This window comes from Homo sapiens, chromosome 14 (genome assembly GCF_000001405.40).
Source record: "Homo sapiens chromosome 14, GRCh38.p14 Primary Assembly".
Taxonomy (NCBI): domain Eukaryota; kingdom Metazoa; phylum Chordata; class Mammalia; order Primates; family Hominidae; genus Homo; species Homo sapiens.
In genome coordinates this window covers 65,656,811-65,681,343 of record NC_000014.9, presented here as the reverse complement: position 1 = coordinate 65,681,343, position 24,533 = coordinate 65,656,811, and the positions used below count along the sequence as shown (strand labels likewise).

General features: G+C 35.7%; 1 protein-coding gene across 13 annotated transcripts in view, besides 2 other annotated features; it reads right to left on the bottom strand.

Annotated features, from left to right (window-relative positions):
• FUT8 (fucosyltransferase 8) overlaps positions 1 to 24,533 on the bottom strand; it is a 387,280-nt gene that overhangs the window by 62,778 nt on the left and 299,969 nt on the right. For all 13 annotated transcript variants that reach the window (NR_038167.1, XM_047431179.1, XM_047431177.1 and 10 more), the window contains one exon: positions 11,864 to 12,101. Coding sequence is in view for 12 of the 13 variants with exons in the window: in XM_047431179.1 (XP_047287135.1) it covers positions 11,864 to 12,101 (238 nt within the window). In the remaining variant the exon portion in view is untranslated. The remainder of the gene's footprint in view (positions 1 to 11,863; positions 12,102 to 24,533) is intronic.
• Positions 14,668 to 14,837: an enhancer, noted in NCBI's record as "experimental_35248 CRE fragment used in MPRA reporter constructs". NCBI's record gives its function as "activates a minimal promoter by MPRAs in K562 erythroleukemia cells, with activity observed for both the introgressed and non-introgressed 14:66133310 variant alleles {active_cell/tissue: K562}" and the evidence as "EXISTENCE:reporter gene assay evidence [ECO:0000049][PMID:34662402]".
• Positions 16,438 to 17,198: an enhancer, noted in NCBI's record as "OCT4-NANOG hESC enhancer chr14:66130864-66131624 (GRCh37/hg19 assembly coordinates)". NCBI's record gives its function as "activates a minimal SCP1, AML or CMV promoter by ChIP-STARR-seq in primed H9 embryonic stem cells {active_cell/tissue: H9 hESC(primed)}" and the evidence as "EXISTENCE:reporter gene assay evidence [ECO:0000049][PMID:30033119]".

The following is a 24,533-nucleotide window of genomic DNA, read 5'->3' as shown; positions in this document are numbered from 1 at the left end:
GCTCTTCACCAGAAACCTTTGAATAACATAGGTAAGGTGGTATTTTCTTTATTTGATAGATTCAGAAGGAGATTAAAATTTTTCAAGGACCATTCTGCTTATCATAGACAATTTAATTTAAAAAAACTGAGTAACAAGTATTGGCCAGTAGTATTAGGCAATGAGGAAACAAAAATAAATAGGACAAGCTTCTTAAAGAACTCACAGTATACTCAAAGAAACATGAACTGTTTAAATACAGTGAAAACATGGGGACAATTGGAGGGAAATATCACAAAGGGAATGATACTAAAAGATAAATAGGATTTCATGGGATGAAGTGGAGGAAAGATATTCTCTAGAGAGGAAGAATTACATGTTCCCAGTATATCAGTAAAAGTACACAAAACTTTCAAGGAATACATTTGTAGGTGGACTAGTGAATTATGGAGTGCAGGGCACATTTTGAAAAGCAGGCTGTTTATGTGAAGGAGCTTATATCCTATATTCTAAGCAAGGAGTTTCTATACACTAAGCAGCCATGGAAGGCCTTAGGAGAGAAAGTCATATTTGGTTTCGAAAATATCATTCTGATGGCACTGTGGAAGACAGATTAAAAAGAGAAGGATTCTGAGAGCAGAGGAGATACTGAAATAATTTTTCCATAGAGGGATTAGGCATATGTAGGCAAGTTAAAGAAACGTATACTTTCATATGACCTAACAATACCACTTCTAGGCATATGTACAGCTTTCTAATCAACATGCTGTGAAATATCTGATGGCTGATAAAAATTTAAAGTGTAAGGATAGACACAAATAGAGCAGCTGAACAGGATGGAGAAACCAGAAATAGATCCATATATTACTGATTGATTTTAGACAAAAGGGACCAAGGCAATTCAAATGGGAAAAGTTTTCAACAGATAAGGCTAGAACAAATGAATAAAAATACGGAAAACAATGGTCTTAACCCTTATCTTATGTGACACATGAAAATTAACACTAGAGAGATCATAGACATAAATGCAAAAGCTAAAACTATAAAGTTTCTGGAAGAAAACATAAGAGAATATCTTTAGGTCATCTGTCTTCTGCCACTGGCACTCCTGGTTCTCAGGCCTTCAGGCTTGAACTGGAATCATTACACCATCAGCCCTCTAGCTCTCTGTCTGGCCTTTCAACTATAATACACTACTGGCTTTCCTGGGTCTCCAGCTTGCAGATGGCAGATCGTGGAACTTCTCAGACTTGATAACTGTGTGAGCTAATTATAAGGTACTGACCTTATAATACATCTTTCAGGCTCTATCTCACTATATATCCTATTGGTTCAGTTTGTCTGAAGAACCCTGACTAATACAGTGGGCCATATACAATGGTTCCTCTGTTGGAACCATTTAACTCTGTCACTGTAGTGTAAAAGCAGCCATAGACAACACACTAACAAATGGGCATGAATATATTCTAATGAAACCATATTTACAAAAATAGGTAGGGGGCTAAATTTGGTCTGAGGACCATAGTTTGTCAAGCCCTTTTTTAGAGCATAAGATTTTATATGTGACACACTGTCAGAGACCTCTGTAGCTTTGCCACCATCCCCCAGGTGATAATATGGGCAGTAAAAATAATTTTTACATATAGTATAATGTGATACAGTTTGTAAGCACTGCCCTAGGAAAATTAATATATATGCACAAAGAGATATGCATAAAGATACTATGTCACTGTTTATAATGGCAAAAACTTGAAATAATTTACATGCTCATCAATGAGGCAATATATAAATCATGATACAGATGTACAAAAATTACAATAGTTGAATGAACTCAATTTCCATTATTAATGCATACATAAAACAAATGGGTGCCTCTAAGATGGTCATTTATGACAGGCCATAAAATATTAATCTTCCCTCTGAAATAGAGACACCATATAACTTTTAAAATGTAGATAACATATTCTGAATTCAATCTAGGTATTATATTTCCAAAGAATGCAGAAAGATTGCTGTATAGATTCTAATGTCTCAATTTGGGTGGCCCCATGGTTGGTACTGGATCTAATCTAGAAAAGAGGAACATACAGTATAATGCCTATTTTTGCCAATGTCCTATTATTAATTCTAAATTATATGGATCAAGATTTGCCAGATGTAGCAGCAGAGGCAGGTATTTAACCTACTCCCCAACTCCTACACTTGATTTCAGTGAACACAGCAAGATGGGCAGTGGCAGCAAAGAAAGAAAAACACGGTGATTTACTCTTTCATCAACTACTTTTTTCACCATGCCTTAAAATCCCACTGAAATGTTCCAGTTCATTCCTAGCCAGAACCTAGATGCACTAAATAATAGCTTCAAATATAATATACAAGACCCAAAACCTAGAGAGGAAAGGATCATGCTGCAGTGCTTCAATACTACGTTTTTGGTTGCTTACATAATCTCTGCTGGTCTGGCATTATGTAGCTCCTTCCAGTCAATAGAGAGATACCAAAGGGATGTTTTCTCAGTCAAAGGCCCTCACTGTTATGTATTTATTTCTAATATTCAGATCCTTAGGATTTGTACAATTCCATTGCAGTGTTTAGAAAAAAAGACTTTTAAATGAAAAAACCCTTTCTACTTTTAGGTAAAATTTACGTGGAAATTCCTACCTGGGGTATGTTCAGATTCCTAAGCGTTAGCTCCCACAGAGTAGAGGCTTCACAGGGGCCTATTTTTGCTTCTCTTAGTATTATATACATATTAGAGCTCCAAGACAAAATGGTTTATTCCTAGTACCCCCCTTTACTCCCAGCCATCATCCTATCAACTTGGAGACCTTAAAAAGACTATCTGAAGACTGTTTTGTCAGGAGAGCTCTCTGACTGGGGTCAGCGATGGCTCTAGCTAAGAAGGCAACCCTGTCCCAGAAACTAAGAGAAACTGGTCAGCTCCTTGATTAGGAGCATATTTTTGATGTTTAGTCAGCCTAGACACTGAGATTTTTACAGGGCAACCTAAATAAAACCCAACAGAAGTGGAGAATGATCCTCATGTGGGCTAGGGGAGCTAGGGAGCCAAAGCTGGCTCTCTTTGGGAGGATGGCTACACAAAAAGCCATCAAGTAGCTCTGAGTTTCATTAATGTTGGCTGTTAAAGTTAAAAGAAGCCCTGCTGAAACTCTATAACCCAATCATGCTATTATTGTTATTTTGCTTTGTTCCCATAAAACTAAAGTGGTAATAATAACATATGGTGATTTAGAATATATAAACCACTGTCAAATATATTATCACTCTGAATGCTCATAACAACTCTGTAAGGTACACAGAACAGGGAGGTTAAGGGACACTACCCAAAGTAACACAGCTAATAACTTCTGACTCCAAATCAATGACACTGATCTGTCCTGGTAAATGATGTTCTTCATTCTCTAAGAGCCCAGCTCATGGATCTAGTGAAGTCTCTGATTGCTTTAGCCAGAAACAGTTTTTCTATTCTCTGGTGGCCCACAGGACCTTATACCTCTCTTATGACACTACCTTTTTTACATTTACAGATGTATGGGTCTCATGATACTCAATGACAAGTTCCTGAAGAGTCATCTTTATATTTCCCATGGCATCTAGAAACATTCAAATTTTTACTGAATGACTAGTGTACTTCCCTGTTTATGGTACTGATCCATTTTTTTTAAAGAAACTTTATAATTAAAAACATTATAAATATAAATGTGCCCATTATTTATACCTAATACAGTATTTGCTGGCAGTTGTACTTTTTCAAAAGTAAAGTTGGATATCAAAATCTGAACAAAAATGATAACTCTAATTGTAATATATCTTTTGGGAAAATCAGTATGACTTATAGTATCACTAGTTGCAATTTCTTGCTTCCAGAGAATATAACCTGCATTAAGTTTAATGGCTACTTATAATAGGAGACTAAACTTAAATTGAATCAAAAGGAGGACCTCTTTAGGAAGAGGTGGAAGACTCAACTCTAATTATTTTCAATAACTGCTAAGAATATTTTTGATCTTTGTATTTGGGGAAGCAAAACAAAAGAAAGAAGCCTGATACCAAAGTATCATCTAAGAAGGTTTATGATTCTGTAATCTGCTTTTGACCTTCTGCTAAGGCAACAAAAATGCATGAGTAATAAAGTCTATTACTTAAAAACACACATGCGCACACACATACGTGCGCGCGCATGCGCGCGCGCACACACACACACACACACACACACACACACACACACAAATATGTCTTTCTTTCCAATGGAACTGATGTATAAACCACTATAGAACTTTCTTACTGAGTAACAACCTTTTGGAGGGAAAAAAATATGTATAACTCCACTAAAGATCACGGACTTTATTATTTCCTATTCCATGAAATTAGCCTACAATTTATATAATCCTGGGGAAGGGAGACAAAGAAATTACAGATTCACATCATACTCAGAGCTCTGGCATATAAAACTAACCAAAAGGGACAGGATGCATTCTTTACTTTCTTCAAAATGTCAACAATTATCTTGTTTGTAGAATCACTCTAACGTGATCCACATGTTTTAAGCAAACAAGACTCTGTTATCAAAATGCTACTGAAAGATTGCAATCTTCTTTTTCTATACTTTGGTGTTTGAGTTGAAGGTCAACTGTGACTGAGACTCAAAGATTCACATAAGTATGTCTGAGGAAAACAGAAAAACCCAAATACTTACAAAAGGAAGAAAGGAAGGGAAGGAGGGAAGGAAGAAGGAAGGAGGGGTGGGGGGTGACTCAGGGGACCGACTACTAGCTCCTATTAGAAAAAAGATTATTTACTTTGTAATCTAGCTCCGCTGGAATGTTTCAAACACGACTCAATTTGTAATAATTTATGCCAAATCTTTAAGGAATACATCTATCATAATAGGTATATCAGTATTTATAAAAACACTGATAATTTCTGAGACAGTTATCAAGGCTATGTGGCCCAGACACCCCACAGGAAATTAAGAACACCTGGATTCTATCTCTAGCTCTAACAACCTTGGATAGGTCCTAAATAGACTTTAGGAGATTTTTCAGAAACTTTTCCAATGAAATAGTTTACACTCCATAGTGAGGTGGATGCTAAATACGTATTGCTTTTTCCTAAGTCACACGTCCTTTTATCTCTGAACTCATTCTGCCAGAACCTTTTCTAAAAAGGGGAGAATAAATTGCTTAAAAGATTCATTCTTGGTAATAGACTATTTTTTCAAAACAAAATCTACAGTTTAATAAAAGTGCTTCACATAGCTAGAAGGGTAATGTTTTGAAATTTGGATGGGGATCTGGGGAGACAGGTTTTGTTTATTACATTTATTTTTTGTTTATTTATTTTTTTTGAAACAGAGTCTTGCTCTCTCGCTCAGGCTGGAGTGCAGTGGCGCGATCTCGGCTCACTGCAAGCTCCGCCTCTCAGGTTCAAGTGATTCTTCCCTCTCAGCCTCCTGAGTAGCTGGGATTACAGGTGCCCATCACCACGCCAGGCTGATTTTTTTTTTTTGTATTTTTAGTAGAAATGGGGTTTCACCATGTTGGCCAGTCTGGTCTTGAACTTCTGACCTCTGGTAATCCGCCCACCTCGGCCTCCCAAAGTACTGGGATTACAGGCGTGAGCCACCGCGCCCGGCCTCTCTTATTACATCTAATGTGCTCTGGTCAAACGCTTGGCACTGTGTAAATAACCTAGAAGGTAAATAACCTAGAAGTACCTTGCTGCTTTGCTCCCATATGGAGTCTCTGTCAAGGTGAAATAAACAGCTAAAAAACTCATAGAATGGTGTTTCTTAAAATTTTCCACCAAAATGCTCCTAACAGCAGAGGAAGGTAAATTCATGCTACTGAGAATATGAAGTCTGGCCTCAATCAATGGGCTGGAGTTTGATCAAATTTTCATTTTATACCATTACAGATCTTGTTTTATTATTTGAAAATGATTTAGCTTACCTACCAGTAAATAAAATTAATAGTCCAAGAAAATGTACCATGTTTTATCCTGGTAGGTTGCAAATCTCTAATTCACTTTCCCCAGGTTTACTCACAACTCAATCTGAGAAGCACTTACAGGATAAACACGAAAATAAATATCTGTAATTGTAAGAGTGTAGGCTCACAAGGGTCAAGGCTACAATGTGGACAAAGCTTCAGTTCCCTATTCCTGTATTTCCTGATGATCCCACTAGATTTTAATGAGATACCATAGACTTCTATCTCCTTAAGTGGGAAATGAAAGAAGATGTAATGGTGAAAAGCAGCTTAACTTCTTCTGAGACATTAAGTATATTCTAACTGGAATTTTAAATTCCTGAAGCAAAGATCTTTCTTTCTTTTGTGGCCCATAAGTAGTAAAACAAAAAAGTTTTATAGCAGTTGAATCAAAAGTCCTTATGTACCTGCAATGATACTTGTTTAGGTTAATGATTCTAAAAGGAGTCAGGTAAAGGGCAGAGAAACCTACTAGAATCTTGGAGAGGAGACAGCTAGCTTTTCAACTATATGTGGTACCAACTCACTCTCCAAATAGCCTCCTGCACAACCAGATCTTTGCTGCAACAAAGCCAGTTTCACTAATTACACAGAATAACTATCATAAGAAAGAGTATACCTTCTATCTTAGGTATGTTGAGATAGAAAAAATACTTAAAACTGCTGAAGGCTTCAGGTAGCTGCGGAGAGACTCTATGAGTGGCCCAGAATTTTATTTTGATTAAATTGTGGGTTTATTAAGCATAGAGATATTCTGAATGTCTAGAAGTTATTCTCAGAAGTTATCTTGCTTCTCTGTATTTCTTTCAACTTTTCCATTTAACTTAGACAGAAAACTACATATGAAGCTCTTATAAAGGCATGATTTTCATCTCAGAATAAAAGGATAACTTTCCTGTTGTTGCAGGTTATAACCTAATAATATATTCCAGGTGGACAGGGAGGTAGATAATGAGTATCATGAGTTTTTTAAAGAGCTAAACTGAGGTTCAGAAGCTAAGTTAATTCACAAAGTTCAGAAAGCTAAAAACAACAGAACTGGATCAGACTCACAGTCTAATATCCTTCCTCTCCCTCAGATCCCCTAAACAGAGAAATCAAGATTTTTTGCAGCATAAGGGATCAAAAATAGTAAATGTACTTGTTTTAAGTTTCTATTAATACAATTATCAAAGACTGAAAATACTACTGTAAAAAGACTTAACATATGCATATCTATAGCCTAATATGTATATTATATCTATATATTCTTAATCACATTATTGCTTAATATCAGTTTATAAATTAGTCTACCTGACGTCAATCCTTATTAAGGATACAACTTGGTTAGAATATTTAGATGATTCCAACAGACATCTTAGTAGTTTTGTAAAGGTTAAAATATTAGTATCAAAGGAAAGACTGAAAGTATAATTTCATTTGTGTTCTACTTGCTAAAGATTTTCCTTCTGACCTGAGTGAGATATTTGAATAAACAGTTTAATAGTTATGAGATAACAAAAAAGTCATCTGAAATCAATTTCTTATAACTCTGTCTACTCTCTAAACCAAAATCAAAAAAACAGCTTTGACTCTCGAATTAAAACCTGTCAGTTTTAGTGAAGAACAAGAATACACAACCATCAAAATGGAAATCCTGTAAGTGATGCTTGTTTTTAAAAGGAAACATTAGCTAGTCTCTCAGTATTCAAGCTTTACAATGAATTACTACTAGTTCCCCCAGTGACTCCATGTTCTCTTGCCTGTCTTTTTACATGTTGTGCCCACTGACAGAAAATTCTTCCACCATGTCCCTACCTGGTTGACTCCTACTCATAATTTAGGTCTCAGCTTAAAAATCATTTCTTCCAAAAGAACCCCAAATATGCATTAGATATTTGCTTCAGGGTAGTCTTAACCATACCACCACATTAGCACAACATATTTTAATTGCTTATTCAGTTGTCTATCTTTCCCCCTTGACTGCCCTTTACACGAAAGAGACTGTGTCTGTCTTCATGTAGTACAGCATAGGTATCTAGCAAATAGCAAATACTTTAATTGAATTACTTTTATTTCAAGGTTGCCTCCACATAAACCTTAAGGATGTCAAATAAAACTCTTTGACTAAAACCTTTTGGAAATGAGGCATGGAGAGAAGGTAACTGTTCAGTTTAGATAAGTGGATATACCAAACGGTCATCTACCTAAACATGTATTTAAACCAGGCACCTCGCCTCCAGGGCATCAAACTTTATCGTATTTATAAATTATTTTTTTACTAGTCATTATTTTCATTTACAAATAAAATTTTCCAATTACATTTATCATATTAAGAATTCAGTTTAACTTATGTATTTATTAAGACAGTGGGAAAAAGACAAGAGAAGGAAAGACAGAACAGCCTAGGTAGTTTAACTGTTAAGGTGAATAATTTTTAATTTTTACAAGGAAAAAGATTGAAGTGGGGAACTGAATTTAAGTGGAGTTCTCTATCACTAAATCATCTATTCAATATTGTTTATATAAGCTAGAAAAGCATTTTGAAAGCTAGTCATCATATATAGCCTAAAATAGTCAATATCCTTTAAAAAACCAAATTATAAATTGTTGAGGCCAGGCACAGTGGCTCACACCTATAATCCCAGCACTTTGGGAGGCTGAGGTGGGAGGACTGCTTGAGGCCAGGAGTTTGACATCAGCCTGGGCAATATAGTGAGACCCTATTTCTAATAAAAAATAAAATAACTAGCTGGGCATGATGGAGCATGCCTGTAGTCCCAGGTGCTGTGGGGGCTGAAGTGAGAGGACTGCTTAAGCCCAGGAGTTCGAGGCTGCAGTGAGCTAGGATCATGCCCCCGCACTCCAGCCTGGGTGTCAGAGCAAGACTCTGTCTCTAAAAACAAAACAAAAAACAATAAATAAATATTGTTGAAAGGTACTTCAAACTATTAAACATAAAGGCAAGATTCCCATTTTGAATTATCACAAGCAATCTATGTGGAAGAATCAGGTCTAGTATGTGTAGTTAGTTCAGGCTGAGGAAACATCTTGTGGTGTAAAAAACTAAATTGATCATTTCATCAACAACCTTAGGGCACATAAACTATTAGGAATAGACATGGCATGTACAGGTGATGGGAAATATTTTGATTACTTTTTACTGGAAGCATTACCTTTAGTATTTTCCTTCACTTAACCATTTTACTTGGTACAAAGGATATAGTTTCACACACAAACATAAAATAATGGAGGAGAAAAATAGACACCAACCATAATAAGGTATGATATAGCTATGAAATGATCACTGTACAAACTAATTCCTGCACTGGTGGACAGACTTGAACAAGAATTACTAAATTCCATCTGCAAGGACATCATGTCAAGTTATGTATGAACAATAATAATTTCACAGTAATGGTGACAAAGGAAATATCCCAAGATTTTTTGTACAACTCAGAATGACAACAGACACAGCTGATTTATGACTAACTAAAGAATTAAAGTCAAGGAGCTTATTAAAATTCACTATTTCCTCTAATTCTTGGAAATATGTTCAATAGTTTCTCTAAAGGGCACATATATAGATAATGTAAATAAGCAGATAAATTGATGGCAGCCATACTCTTCATAAAAACAAAAATATTCTAAGCTTAAAAGAAATCTCTTTTCAGATAAAAGATTGGTATCTAAATTATTAAAATTATTTAATTCCTAGATATTCCAGGCAGTTTCTGTGCCTCTAATCATCATTCTTCTAGTAATGATGGTAGATTATTCTGCTAGTAACGAGGTAAAGTGTTTGGCATGAGTTTACTGATAAGGACTTAGACTGGGGGTATGTACAAGTGAATGTGCTAACCAGAGTTCTGGCATTTATAAGCTGTATGACCCTGGGTAAGTCATTTAGCCTTAACTAGGCCTTTGATTCCAGATGAATAAAGAAAGGATGCTTTCTACATCCTCTTTAGTTGTAACATTAAGAAATTCTGAGTGTTTGAAATTCAAGCCATGTTAAATTTTCATACCCTGTGGTTGCCACTACCGACTACAAAATGTACAAGTAAGGATTAAAAATCAAACAAACCAAATAACCACTTGTAGCACACGGGCAGGGCTAAACTATATATTAAACCTGATAAATCTGTAACTTTTCACTTTTCTGACTACCATACAAAAAGTTGTCTCCCCCTAGAACCAGGGAAACATAGTTTGGCCCTGGCTATTATTTCCACAATCAAGGAAGTTTAAACTGAACTAAGTCCATGAAATGAAAAAAGTTAGCCATAGTGGGGCTGGTAGAGTTTCTTTTCCTGAATGACAAATTTAGTATCTTCCTAACCTTTATAACTAATCTGTTGGCACTAGCCGTGAAAAGTACAGACCAGATCAGTGGAAGATATAACCTTAAAACTAAAGCTTAACTAGGTTCTAGATAAAGAGGTTCACCTTAAAATCTGAAGTGAGTTAAAAATAAAAAATCGGGTGATATATAAAATAAGGCTTCTAAAACACCCTACAGAAGACAAAACACAATACTTTTAATCCATACAGGACCTCTTGCAGAGCAACTCAAAGTATTTTATAGAAAGTACTCAATTAAGTTTCATGACACTTCTGCAAAGAGTCAGATATTACCGATTTTTTTTCAAAGGAGGCAAAAGAAATGAAGGAACCAAAGTTACTTTGCTGATGACATAGCTCCCTATTTCGTATCTAGTGTTGTAGCTCGTGAAAAAAGGTGCTTAGCCCCACAATAAATGATATTAACTGAAGTGCCTCAGTTTTTTGAAAAATGTTGGACTTCCCACAAGATATGAGTGCAGAGGATGTGTACTGTCTTGCTTAGTATTTATCCTGATCACTTAATTCAGTATCTGTCACACTGTAGGCACTCATTATACATTTGTTTAATGAATAAAGGCTATTCATAATAGCTAAAAATTACTAGATATAAGTTCATATATCAGTACTAAGTGCATTACATATATTATTTCATTTAATCTACCAACAATTCAATAAAGTGATTACTCTTCATTTTACTGATAAGGAAACTAAGACCTAGGTTAAGTAACTTGTCCAAGATTACAAAACAATAAAGCCACAATTTTAACAAGGTAGCCCAACTTTAGATCTTAAAGATCATGATTGTAGAAAGAAAAGCACTAGACTAGCGGTAAGAAATTCTTTTCTATATTCTACTCCTTCACCACTTCCTTGGAGAGAAAGGAAATTTCTTACTGATGTTTCTATCTGCTTATAATGCCTAGTATAGTACCTTAGTCACATTACTATTCATTAAATGTTTCCTGAATACAATTAAAATCACATAAACAAATTAGGCTTCATTTGAAGATAAAGTTACCAGCAAGGTCCACCTCAGTGGTTCTCAAAGCACGGTCCCTAAACCTAAAACTTTTGTCAGATATTAAAACTCTCAGGCTGCAGCCTAGACCTTCCTTAACAGAAAATGGAGTTTTATGAAACCTTCCAGATGATTCTCATGCATGCTCATGCTACTCATATATAGTAGTCCATATAAACTGGACTACTTTATATGATGATTACTTCATATTAAAATGAGTTCAATAATGTGAAATCATCTTATAGAGTGAAAGTCATATCATTATTATTAAAAGATTAAATTATGCTCCCTGAAAAAAACTCAGTGATTTTGCTAAATTCACATAAAAATGAGCATCAGAAATGAAATACATAATAAAATACTTTTAAGATAAAATACTGTTCTTCTAGATTTTATCTGGATAATGTATAGTATTCATGGATCCAGAGGAAAAGATAAGTATGTTCCATGAAGGTCTACCTAGAAATCTAATAATCTGGTAATTGAGTGAAACAGCCCAGAGATCTCATATGCTGCACAAGCTCCTTACCTGACCAGTGTCCAGTGGAGATGCCAGATCTGTCTGTGCATGTCTCACTTACAGGCCTAAATACAGTCTCCCATCCACCAGTAGCATAGCGCCAATTCTGAGATTCCAAGATGAGTGTTCGCTGGGTGCCATATGCAATCATGAAGCAGTAGACCACATGATGGAGCTGACAGCCATAGCCACAGCCTTTGTTGATATTACACACCAGCTTTTTGGCTTTGCTGCAGTCCTTGGGATTCTGTCAGGGAGAAAGAGAAATGAAAATAAAGATAAGTTGTACAGAGAGGTCAACTGCTCTTTTTTTTTTTTAATCTTTCATCTTCAGGGGTACACATGCAGGTTTGTTCTATAGATAAATTGTGTGTCGTGGGGTTTGGTATACACCCCAAGTAATCAGCATAGTAAGTGATATGCAGCTTTTTGATCTTCACCCTCCTCCCACCTTTCACCCTCAAGTAGGCCCCAGTGTCTACTATTCTCTTATTTGTGTCTATATGTACTCAATGTTTAGCTCCCACTTTTAATAAGAACATGAAGTGTTTGGTTTTCTGTTCCTGCATTAGTTTGCTTAGGGTAATGGCCTCCAGCTCCATCCATGTTGCTGCAAAGGACATGATCTCATTCTTTTTTATGGCTTCATACTATTCCATGATATATATGTGCCACATTTTCTTTTTTCAGTCTACCACTGATGGGCATCTAGGTTTATTCCATGTCTTTGCAATTGCAAATAGTGCTCTGATAAACATGTTAATTGCATGTGTCTTTATAGCAGAATGATTTATATTCCTTTGGTTATATACCCAAAAACGGGATTGCGGGGTCAAATAGTAGCTCTCTAAGTTCTTTGAGAAACTGCCAAACCACTTTCCAATGGTTGAACTAATTTACATTTCCACTGGCAATGTATAAATGCCCCTTTTCTCTGCAGCCTCACCAGCATGTTATTTTTGGACTTTTTAATAACAGCATTCTGTTGCCTCATTCTGATGGTATATCACTGTGATTTTGATTTGCATTTCTCTAATGATTAGTGATGTTTGATACGTATTGACTGTGTATATGTCTTTTGAAAAGAGTCTGTCTTTTGAAAAGTGTTTGCCTTTTTAATAAGGTTGCTTTTTCCTTGTTAAGTTCCTTATAGATTCTGGATATTAGACCTTTCATAGCTTGCAAATATTTTCTCCCATTCTGTTGGCTGTCTGTTTACTCTGTTGATAATTGCTTTTGCTGTTCAGAAGCTCTTTAATTAGGTTCTGTTTGCCAATTTTTGTTTCTGTTGCAACTGCTTTTGGCGTCTTCATCATGCAATCTTTGCCAGGGCCTATATCCACAATGGTATTCCCTAGGTTTTCTTCTAGAGTTTTTATGGTTTTAGGTTTTACATTTAAGTCTTTTATCTATCTTGACTTAATTTTTGTATATAGTGAAAGGAAGGGGTCCAGTTTCAATCTTATGCATATAGCTAACCAGTTATCCCAGCACAATTTATTGAATAGGGAGTCCTTTCTCCTTGGCTTGTTTTTGTCAGCTTTGTCAAAGATTAGAAAGTTGTAGGTATATGACTTTATTTCTGGACTCTCCATTCTGTACCACTGGTCTATATGTCTGTTTTTGTACCAGTACCATGCTGTTTGGTATGGTGATACATGGTATGGGTACCATGGTGTTTGGTACCCATACCATGGTTACTGCAGCCTTGCAGTATAGTTTGAATTCGGGTAATGCGGTGCTTCCAGCTTTGTTCTTTTTGCTTAGGATGGCTTTGGCTATTCAGGCTTTTTTCTGATTCTGTATGAATTTTAAATCAGTTTTTTCTAGTTCTGTGAAGAATGTCATCGGTAGTTTGATGGGAATAGCATAGAATCTGTAGATTGCTTTGGGCACTATGGCCATTTTAATGATACTGATTCTTCCTACCCATGAGCCTGGAGTGTTTTTCCATTTGTTTGTGTCATCTCTGATTTCTTTGAGCAGTGTTTTGTAATTCCCCTTGTAGAGATCTTGCACCTCCCTAGTTAGCAGTATTCTTAGGTATTTTATTCTTTTTGTGGCAATTTTGACTAGGATTGCATTCTTGATTGAGCTCTCACCTTGGATATTACTGATGTATAGAAATGCTACTGATTTTTGTACACTGATTTTGTAGCATGAAACTTTGCTGAAGTTGTTTGTCAGATCTAGGAGCTTTTGGGTAGGGAATATGGGATTTTCTAGGTTTAGGATCATATTGCCTGCAAAGAGAGGTAGTTTGACTTCCTTTCTTCCTATTTGGATGCCTTTAATTTTTTTCTCTTGCCTGCCTGTCTGCTCTGGCTAGGACTTTTAGAACTATGTTGAACAGCAATGGTGAGAGTGGGCATCCTTGTCTTGTTCTGGTTCTCAAGGGGAAGGCTTCCAGCTTTTGTCCACTCAGTATGATGTTGTCTGTGGGTCTGTCACAGGTAGGTCTTACTATTTATAGGTATGTTCCTTCGATGGCTAGTCTGTTGAGGATTTTTAACATGAAGAGAGTCTGAATTTTATTGAAAGCCTTTTCTGCATCTATTGAGATAATTTTTTTGTTTTTAGTTCTGCCTATGTGATGAATCACATTTATGGATTTGTGTATGTTGAACCAATCTTGCATCCCAGGGATAAAGCCTATTTGATCGCGGTGAATTAACTTTTTGATATGCTGCTGGATTTGGCTTGCTATTATTTTGTTGAGGATTTTTGCATCTATGTTCATCAAGGATATTGGACTGATGTTTTCTTTTTGTTCTTGTGTCTTTCCCAGGTTTTGGTATCAGAATGATGCTGCCCTCACAGAATGAGTTAGGGAGGAGTCTCTCCTCCTCAATTTTTTGGAATAGTTTCAGTAGGAATGGTGCCAGGTCTTCTTATACGTATGGCAGAATTTAGCTATCTGGTCCTGGGACTTTTCTGGATGGCAGGCTTTTTATTACTGATTCAATTTCAGAACTTGTTATTGGTCTGTTCAGGGTATGAATTTCTTCCCGGTTCAGTCTTGGGAGGTTGTATGTTTCCAGGAATTTATCTTTTTCTTGTAGGTTTTCTAATTTGTGTTCACAGAGTGTTATGAACATAGTCTCTGATGGTATTTTTGTATTTCTGTGGGGTTGGTGGTGATGTTCCCTTAACTTCTCTTTACAGGTGACAAGTACCAAAAATCATAAAATAGGTCAGGACTGATCCAGTACGTTTCTTATTCAGGAAAGAATCCTGCTGGATTGGATTTCAGTGAATCCAAAGAAAACCGTATGTACATATTTAAGGAGATTGCAGTGAAAAGAAGCTTACTTGAGAAGAACTGTAAACAATGTGAAATTAAGCAGTTACATTTAAAAAATTCTTTCACTTCTCTTTTTTAACATTGCATTTTGTTTTTTTTTTAAATTTTAAGTTTAAGGGTACACGTGTAGGTTTGTATACAGGTTAACTTGTGTCATGGGGGTTTGTTGTACACTTTATTTAGTCACTCAGGTTTTAAGTCTAGTACTCATTAGTTACTTTTCCTGATCCTCTCCCTCCTCCCATTGTCCACCCTCCGATAGGCCCCAGTGTCTGTGGTGCCCATCTGTGTCCATGTGTTCTCTTCATTTAGCTCCCACTTATAAGTGAGAACATGCAGTATTTGGTTTTCTGTTTCTGCATTAGTTTGCTAAGGATAATGGCCTCCAGCTCCATCCATGTCCCTGCAAAGGAGATGACCTCATTCTTTTTTATGGTTGCACAGTATTCCATGGTGTATATGTATGACACTTTCTTTAGCCATTCTACCACTGATGGGCATTTAGGTTGATTCCATGTCTTTGCTACCGTGAATAGTGCTGCAATGAACATATGCATACATGTATCTTTACGGTAGAATGATTTATATTCCTTTGTGTATATATCCAGTAATGGGACTGCTGGGTCAAATGGTAGTAAAAGTTCTTCGAGTAATTTCCACACTGCTTTCTACAATGGCTGAACTAATTTACACTCCCACCAGCAGTGTATAAGTTCTTTCTTTCACTTCTTTATTCCTCAGTCTTTTATTTCTTTCACTTATTCATCACTCAGAACATGCAAATGGAATCATCTCTGAATTCAAAGTTGCATACATCAATATCTTTATGAAAAAAGTAAAACAGTTCATTTATTCCAGCAGCATTTCAGCATTCTGAGCTTACCTTCTATGATGAAACTCAAATTATCTTAAAAGAAAAACTCTAATTTCTCTATTAATTCCATCTATCTTCACAATTTTATATATTACAACCAAATCTACTTTTTCATTATGAAGTAAAAGCCACTGAGTAGAGGGATATCTGAATTCAACAATTACAAAATATCAGGCATGGAACATTTAAAAAATCATACTTGATAATAGCTACCAGCCATTTTCACAACTGAATGTGGAACATGTTCTATACTGGCTAACTTGAGAAGTATTATGCCACTTTTTAACTGGGAGATCCAGACAGCAAATGTTTAGCTAACATGATAATTTCTTTTTTTTTTCCATTCTAAAGTTCAACTCTGCTTTAATTTGGATGAGCTATTGCTAAATTATTCCTAGGCATCTTAGTTCTTCATATAACAAAATCAGTCTGAGCAGTTTTCCTAGCTATTTTGTCTACAAGAGAGAGGACGGGTAATTCCAAGAACAGAAGCTTTTATCCTACATAGCAAGAGGCAATGTAACCAGTTCTCAATTTATATGAGCCTTGAATAATGCAGTCACCAAACATCAACTCTAAAACTATTTTCCAGGGATATTATCTGTCCTGTCAAGCAGAGCCCTAGAAACAAAAGCTGCAGTCTATAAAATGATTCCAAAGGAAAGACTGAGAAGGGAAACTACAAGTTACCTCCAGAAGAAGTACCTTTCATATTCAAATGTGTCACAGCAAGCTGGTCTTTTTTTAGATCAAAGCAGAACCCATACCATCAAGTACCTTAGGAAGAGTTAAGAGCCTTTTTGAATCTGAGAGAACCCTGATAAAATTCAGCAAGATTTGGTCAATATTGTTTCCACAATCAAGTAGTAGAGTTGCTGATTCTTTGAAAATGTGAACTCATGGCAGACTCCTAAAGCAATAAGCATTCTCACACTTGTTGCTATAGCCACAAAAGATCTGAGAGAAACAGAGGAGTGTGGTATCATGTGGGAATGGGAGATCTGTATCATTTAATTTCTGTACAATATTATATAAGGATCCTGGGAATAAATAATATTCTCGAACTGATTCAAAGGTTTATTATTGACTCAGTTGATCAAAAGTACGGACAAACAACAGTGACATTTGTCAGATTTTCATGAGAAATAGAGTACCTGAATATCACTAAAATTCATATGAATGAAAAAGAAAATGTCCCTCATATCTTCTTCAATAAACCTTTTCTTTTAGAACAGTTTTTAGATGTACTGAATTACTGCAAAGATAGTACAGAGAATCCCCATATACCTAACACCCAATTTCCCCTACTATTACATCTTATGTTAGTCTTCTTCTTCTTTTTTAAGGAAAAAAAGAGTGAAGGAACATAATAATTGAAACATCTGACCTTTAGTTTGGAAACTATAGATTTTCTATTTAAAAGAAGACTCACATCTGCATTTAAGAAAGTATATTCACTGTGTTGAGAACAGAGTTTGACTAGAACCTAAAGCTTTGAGCACAAGAGCTGAGACCTAAAAGGGCAATCTGTACAAGCGGCTTAATGAATGATGCTTAGTATATCTCAAATCAAGCTGAAGATAGACTATATTAATTCTTTTCTGTTTATGTCATAGAGGACATAAAGAAAGAGGGAAAATCCATTATGCTTGATTCTGAAATGAGAAAGGTCTATACATATAAGGTAATCAATGGAAGACTTGAAGGGTGATACGAGAAAATGAATGACTGTACTGATAACAGTAAATTAAACACTGAAAAAGCTCAGAGCCATAGCCCAATTTTTTTGTCCAAATAATACTTAAAAGTCTGGAAAATTCAAAATAACTTGCTCATAAAAGTTCCAGAAAAAGGCAGAGGACACTAAAGAACAGAAAAGGTATTTATGTTCCTAACACAAGATTAGGTTTATCAGAGTACGTATCTAGAAAAAAAAAATAAAGCAACAACTCTGAAATGAACAGGAATTTATTCTGATGAAAAGAACTTCATAGAAAACCCCTCTTCTGAGCTAAGCCTTTGTTATTCAGCATAGTTCCAGAATAGCAACAAATATAAAGAGATTTATGGGACTCTATAAAAGGGATACAGAGCCATAGTTTTGTAATTTTCAAATTTCTTACCAAATAGCTCTTGTCAGTTACCACTGATCCTAGTTTTATACTATCCAGTTGATGCCTGCAAAAGACTAGAAAATGTGTCATATCCATGAGCAAGATATATAGAAGGGTCTCATTACTAAAAGAAGCTTTACTCTAAACTATAAACATAATAAATTATATTTTATAATATGAGATTTTTATATATGGGATCTACTTAAAAGTCAGACTCACTAATAGGCAGATATATTCTAGCTCCTTGCAATAATGATAATTCAAGTTTTAGAAATACAAGGTAAATCTGTGAAAATTACTTAAGACAACATTCTCTAATGAAAGAGCTTGGATAGAGAGGTTAAAGATATGATTTTGGTCCAGTGAAGGTTCTGTTATGAACTCAGTTGTGTGATTTGGTTTCAATTGGTTAGTTTAAAATAGACACAAAAATTACCTCCCTACACAACCTCTCCCTGTTCACTCGCCCTTCTTTCTCAGAGCTACTATGAGGCTAAATAAATGAGCTGGTGTATGCACAAAATTAATTTGAACATACTTATTTATTCTCATAATTTCAAGAGACATTATTTCACACTGAATAAATCCAGTTTTTTGTATGTGTGTGTTCTTTTTGAGTATTAGTGTTGCAAGGTAGCTCAATCACGAGTCTTTATATGCTAACAACATTATGTAACATTTTTGTAATTATAATTCATCAGCAAAGCTGTCATCATAGTACATATAAATCAAGAAATAAGGATTTAAGATATAACAGGATTCTTCTGAATTCAGGTCCCTTTTTATTTTCTTCAATTATTATTATTATTTTTGAGACAAGGTCTGGCTCTATTGCTCAGGCCGGAGTGCAGTGGTGCAATCACAGTTCACCACAACCTCAACCTCCTGGGCTCAAGCCATCCTCCCACCTCATCCCCCCAAGTAGCCCAGCTAACTTTTTTAGTTTTTTGTAGAGATGGGTTTTCCCATGTTGCCCAGGCTGATCCGAACCTGTGAGCTTAAGCCATTCTCCCACGTCAGGCTCCCAAAGTGCTGGGATTACAGGCATGAGCCACCACTCCTGGCCCAATTATTTTCTTTTACACTATCTGAGGCATTTCATCTGACACTATTAGTTTCCAAGAATGACCCTGCTTCAACAGAGCTGAAAGCTGTATTTGCTCTCTCTGCCCTGTAAATCAACAATTAGGAACAATACTTGAATCAATAAGCCTCTAACCAAAATGGTATTTGAAGGAAAGCAGCAGTCCTTAGAAATAAATGATTACTAATTCAGTAAACACACCATCATAACGCTGAGATATTTTACTTAGGTTAAAATATAAAAATAGTCACTGTTAGACATATTTCAAATTAGCACACCAGGTTAATTTCCACTTTGCAAAAAAAGAACAATTTTCAATCAACTAGTAAACCATAGGCGTTCTTCTACTACTTAGGCACTACTACTAGGATTTATGGGTTTCCACTGACTCCACTTAGTAAATTAGTAGCAATGTGAATTACAACATATTACAAAATAGTACTGATTTTGTGGCTTATAAATTAAATGATTTTTTTCTATGACTTTTAATAAAGATTTTTCCTACACACCAATAAAAGCAACTTCAGAGTACAAATTTTCCAGCCACAATGTAATTGCCCTCACCTGCCCAGAGTTACTACTGACCAAAAACATTGCAGAAAAAGGCTAAATTAACAACAAAGAAAACATTTAGTAAATATAAACTGGACATAATATCTCCAGCTGCCTTTTGCAAACAGTAAATGCTCAATAACCATTAGTTCAACTGAATTACATCTACAGAGACAAAGGTGATGTCAAGTCCATAGTCATAAAAATAAATTAACAGGTGGCAAATCTGTTCAGGTTCAAGAGACCTGTTCAGGGCTCTTGATCCACTGTCCACTGCCCTTATCGATTTCACCATGATGTCTTCAATACAAGATGCAGCAAGAAGTCCAGGCTCAAAACACCTATCTGGCTATTTCTGTAAACTGAAAATTAAGAATCAGAACCCCAGGAGATCCTTCCAGCTCCTCCCTAAGAAATTCCTTCTATTGGAAGGAGTTAAGTCAAAGATAGCTCCTATTTCCAGTGAAGACAGCTCAGTAAAAACCAAAAAAAGGGATCAGGCCAGGTGAGTTAAATTTTACTGTGCTCTTTGTCTGCTCTAATCAGAAGACTAAACAGTTTTTATTTGTTTAAAAAGATTTGCAATATCTAGCTTTGTGCTGGTAATGAAGAACGAATTCATTAATAGTGTAGTGAAAGCATTTCATTATATTAGAAACAATCTGATTTTATTTCTCTAACATTATTTTCAAAACCAAGGAGAAAAGGTAATGAAGCAAATAAGAGAACTGAAGTACTCCATTGTGGTAATTAAAATGAAGACTCAGTTAATAACCATGAAAGAGGCAATTAAAAAGCATGCTCACTTTTAAAAGCCAAGACCAGAAATTATTGTCCCTTAACATATTAAACAAGAATATTTCCATAGCAAAGTTAAGACTGTACTAAGGCATCCTTTCCACCCCTCTAGCAAAGAACAATCTAATCTGTACCAAGTAGTAAGGACAACACAATAGCTCAGGCCCAAGTAGTTTACCAAGTGCTTCAGGAAATCAATTTCCCTATGGGTATTCTGTAAAATCTAAGAGTAGAAACTAAAGGGAGGAAAGATACCAAGATACAGAGTTTATAGACTGAAAGACTGCAGCAAAGGCAGATAGTTACTATATGGTCATAGAAGAGGAAAGCTTATCTTGGTAAGTAAAGCCACATTTAGCTTACTTTAAATAATACATTTTAAAAACTTTTGCTCTTTACCTGAAAGTCTCTATTAAATGCTTTAAAGTCATTTTTAAAAGATGGAAATTCCATAAATCCAATAGAAAGCAACAAGCAAATGTGGGGCATTTCTTCCACTGAGGCTTTCAAGACAGTATTCTGTTACCTCTGGGAGTTCCAGGTGGTCTCTAGAAAACCCTCAACTTAGTTTCAAGAGACTTGCATGCTAGAATAACCTTGGTAATATTTTTCTGCCATCAGAAGGGCCACAAAGGAAAGGCAGATAATTAATGATGCATATTCTCATTCAAGAATATAATGTAAATAAAACTACCTCCAAGGATACAGAAGTTGAGTTACATGAGGAGCCAGAATCTGACAATCCTATATAAATGCACAGAAAATGTATCTTCTCAAGCACCTCAACTTTTCTCTGTAAGTTTATACCCTAATTCCCAGGTCTCAGAATCAATTTAACTGTTGAGGTTATAAAGAGCATGCTTACAAAATTAAGATTGAATTTTAGAAAGGTCCTCCGTCATCATTTTAGTTGACAGAATTCATTACGGTCTCTTTCCTCAAAAATATGACAGGTACTCTTTTCAAAAAGGGAGTGAGAAGAGAAAAGAGGAGAGGAGGAAATAAGATAGAAAAAAGGGGAGTTGGGAGGAGAACAGAGGGGAAGAAAGGCGGACGAGAGAAGAGGACAGAAAGGGGAAGAGGAAGAGGGTGGAAAGGGAAAAGGAGTAAAAAGCATGCCTATGAATAGTTAGCCCTGTCTTACTACACAGGAGTAAAAAGATAAAGTATCAGTTCTCGGCCTTTTGGCTAAGATCAAGTGTAAAAGATGAAGTACTTGCAAAAGGAAAACAATGGTTGAAACTGTTCCTGTGCAAAAGCTGCTCCAAATGTTTCGTTTTAAATAAAAGTCAGAGTTTTAAGTTACACAGTTTTGCTGGTTTTTCCATTCTGCAAAGTACCATTCTTCTGGGTAGTACTGGTACTTACAGCACTTGTCTATTCACTGGCTTTAAAACCAAACCATCAACAACAATTAGACTAGATTTCAAATCTGGATACCTCTTCTCGAAGACGGAGTCTTTGTCTCATTTCTCCATGCAGCCAGCCATACATGAAAAATACACTGTTAGCTGAGCATGAATTTCTCTGGAATCCCCAGCTATTATTGTTTTTTTAATGAAAAAAAAACAAAACAAAAAACAAAAAACACCTCAAGATCACCTTTCTCAAACCACCTCAATGAACAGTACTGTAACCAGTTCATTTTATTCTTTACTCCTCAAATATTTTTAACACTGTATTTTTTTACTTTTATTTTGAAATAACTTAAGATCCATAATAAACTGCCAAAATAGTACAGAGAGTTACTATACTTACAGCGTACCTTCCAAAAAGCTTTCCCCAAGGAGAACATATTACTTAACAATAGTACCTTATCAAAATCAGGAAATTGACATTATACAATACTATTAACTACAGACTTTTTTAGATTTTACCAGTTTTCACGTGCACTCAGATTTTATAATACGTATACACTCATGCAACCACCACCAAAATTAGGATACAAGCTGTACCATCAAAGCAAAGAAACCCCTTATACTTCCAATTTAGAGGTACACTCTTCCCCAAATCTTAATCTCTGGAACCCGCTGAACTGCTCTCCATCACTATAATTTAGTCACTTTAAGAGCATTATAAATGGAATTAGATAGTAGTTAATCTTTTGAGATTGCCTTATTACTCAGCACAATGCTCTTGAGATCCATCCAACTTGTGTGTAATAGCTCATTTCTTATTACTAGGTAGTATTCTATTATGTGGATTATATCACAGTTTATTTACCCACTGAAGGACATTTGGGTTGTTTCCACTTTTTGGTTATTACAAACTAAGATGCTATGCACATGAGTGTACAAGTTTCTGTGTGGACATGGGTTTTCTCTAGGATATACAGGAATGTGATTGCTGGATCATATTGGTAATGGTATGTTTATGGAGAACTACCAAACTGTTTCCTAGAATGGCTGTACCATTTTACATTCTCATAAGCAATGCATGAAAGAGCTGGTTGTTCCACATTCTTGGCATTTTTTATTTTAGTCATTCTGACAGGTGACTAATTGTATCTCATCATGTCTTTTGCATTTCCCTAATAACTAATGATTTTTTAACATTTTTCATGTGCTTATTTGTCATCTGTATATGTCTTTTGCATAGCCGTCTGTACAAGACTTTTGCCTATTTTCTAATTAGATTGTTTCTTACTATTGAGATTGGAGAGTTCTTAATACATTGTCTATACATGCCTTCGTTGGACATGTGATTTGCAAAGATTTCTCTCAGTCTATGGCTTCTCTTTCATCCTCTTTAACGGGGTTGCTGGTAAGTAAAAAGTTTCTATTTTTCTAGCATTGTTTTTCTTTAATTTTTAATTTTTTTGAGTACATAGTAGGTATATATATTTATGGGGTACATAAGGTATTTTTACATAGGCATACCATGCATGAAAAATCACATCAGGGTAAATGGGGTAGCCATCCTTTGTGTTACAAACAATCCAATTATACTCTTTTAGTTATTTTTAAATGTATTATTGACTATCACCCTGCTGTGCTGTGAGATATTCTTTCTTTCTTATTCTTTCTTTCTAACTATTTTTTGTACCCATTAACCACGTCCCCTTACCCGCCCCCACAACTACCCTTCCCAGCCTTTGGTAACCATCATTCTAGTCTCTATCTCCATGAGTTCAATTTGTTTTAATTTTTAGCTCCCACAAATAAGTAAGAACATGCCAAGTGTGTCTTTCTTTGCCTGGTTTATTTCACTTAAGATAATGATCTCCAGTTCCATCCATGTTGTTGCTAATGACAGGATCTCATTCTTTTTTATGGCTGGATAGTACTCCATTGTGTATAGGTATCACATATTTTCTTTGTTCATTCATCTGCTGATGGGCGCTTAGGTTGCTTTCAAATCCTGGCTATTGTGGAAAGTGCTGCAGTAAACATGGAAGTGCAAATATTTCTTCAATATACTGATTTCCTTTCATTATATACCCAGCAGCTGGGTTGCTGGATCATATGGTAGTTCAATTTTTACTTTTATGAGGAACGCCCAAACTGTTCTTCATAGTGGTTGTACTAATTTACATTCTGTGTGTTGCCTCTTCACTTTGTTGACTGCTCCCTTTGCTGTGCAGGCAGAAGGTTTTTAACTTGATAAGATCCCATTTGTCCATTTTTGCTTTGGTTGCCTGTGCTTATCGGGTATTACTTAAGAAATCTTTACCCACTCAAACCAGTGTCCTGGAGAGTTTCCCCAATGTTTCCTTTTAGTAGTTTCATAGTATGAGGTCTCAGATTTAAGTCTTTAGTTCATTTTGATTTGCGTATATGGTGAGAGGCTGGGGTCTAATATAATTCCTGAGCATATGGATATCCAGTTTTCCCAGCACCATTTATTGAAGAGACTTTCCTTTCCCCAGTGTAAGTTTGTGACTTTCGTTGAAAATGAGTTTACTGTAGATAACAGATTTGTTTCTGGGTTCTCCACCTGTTCCATTGGTCTAT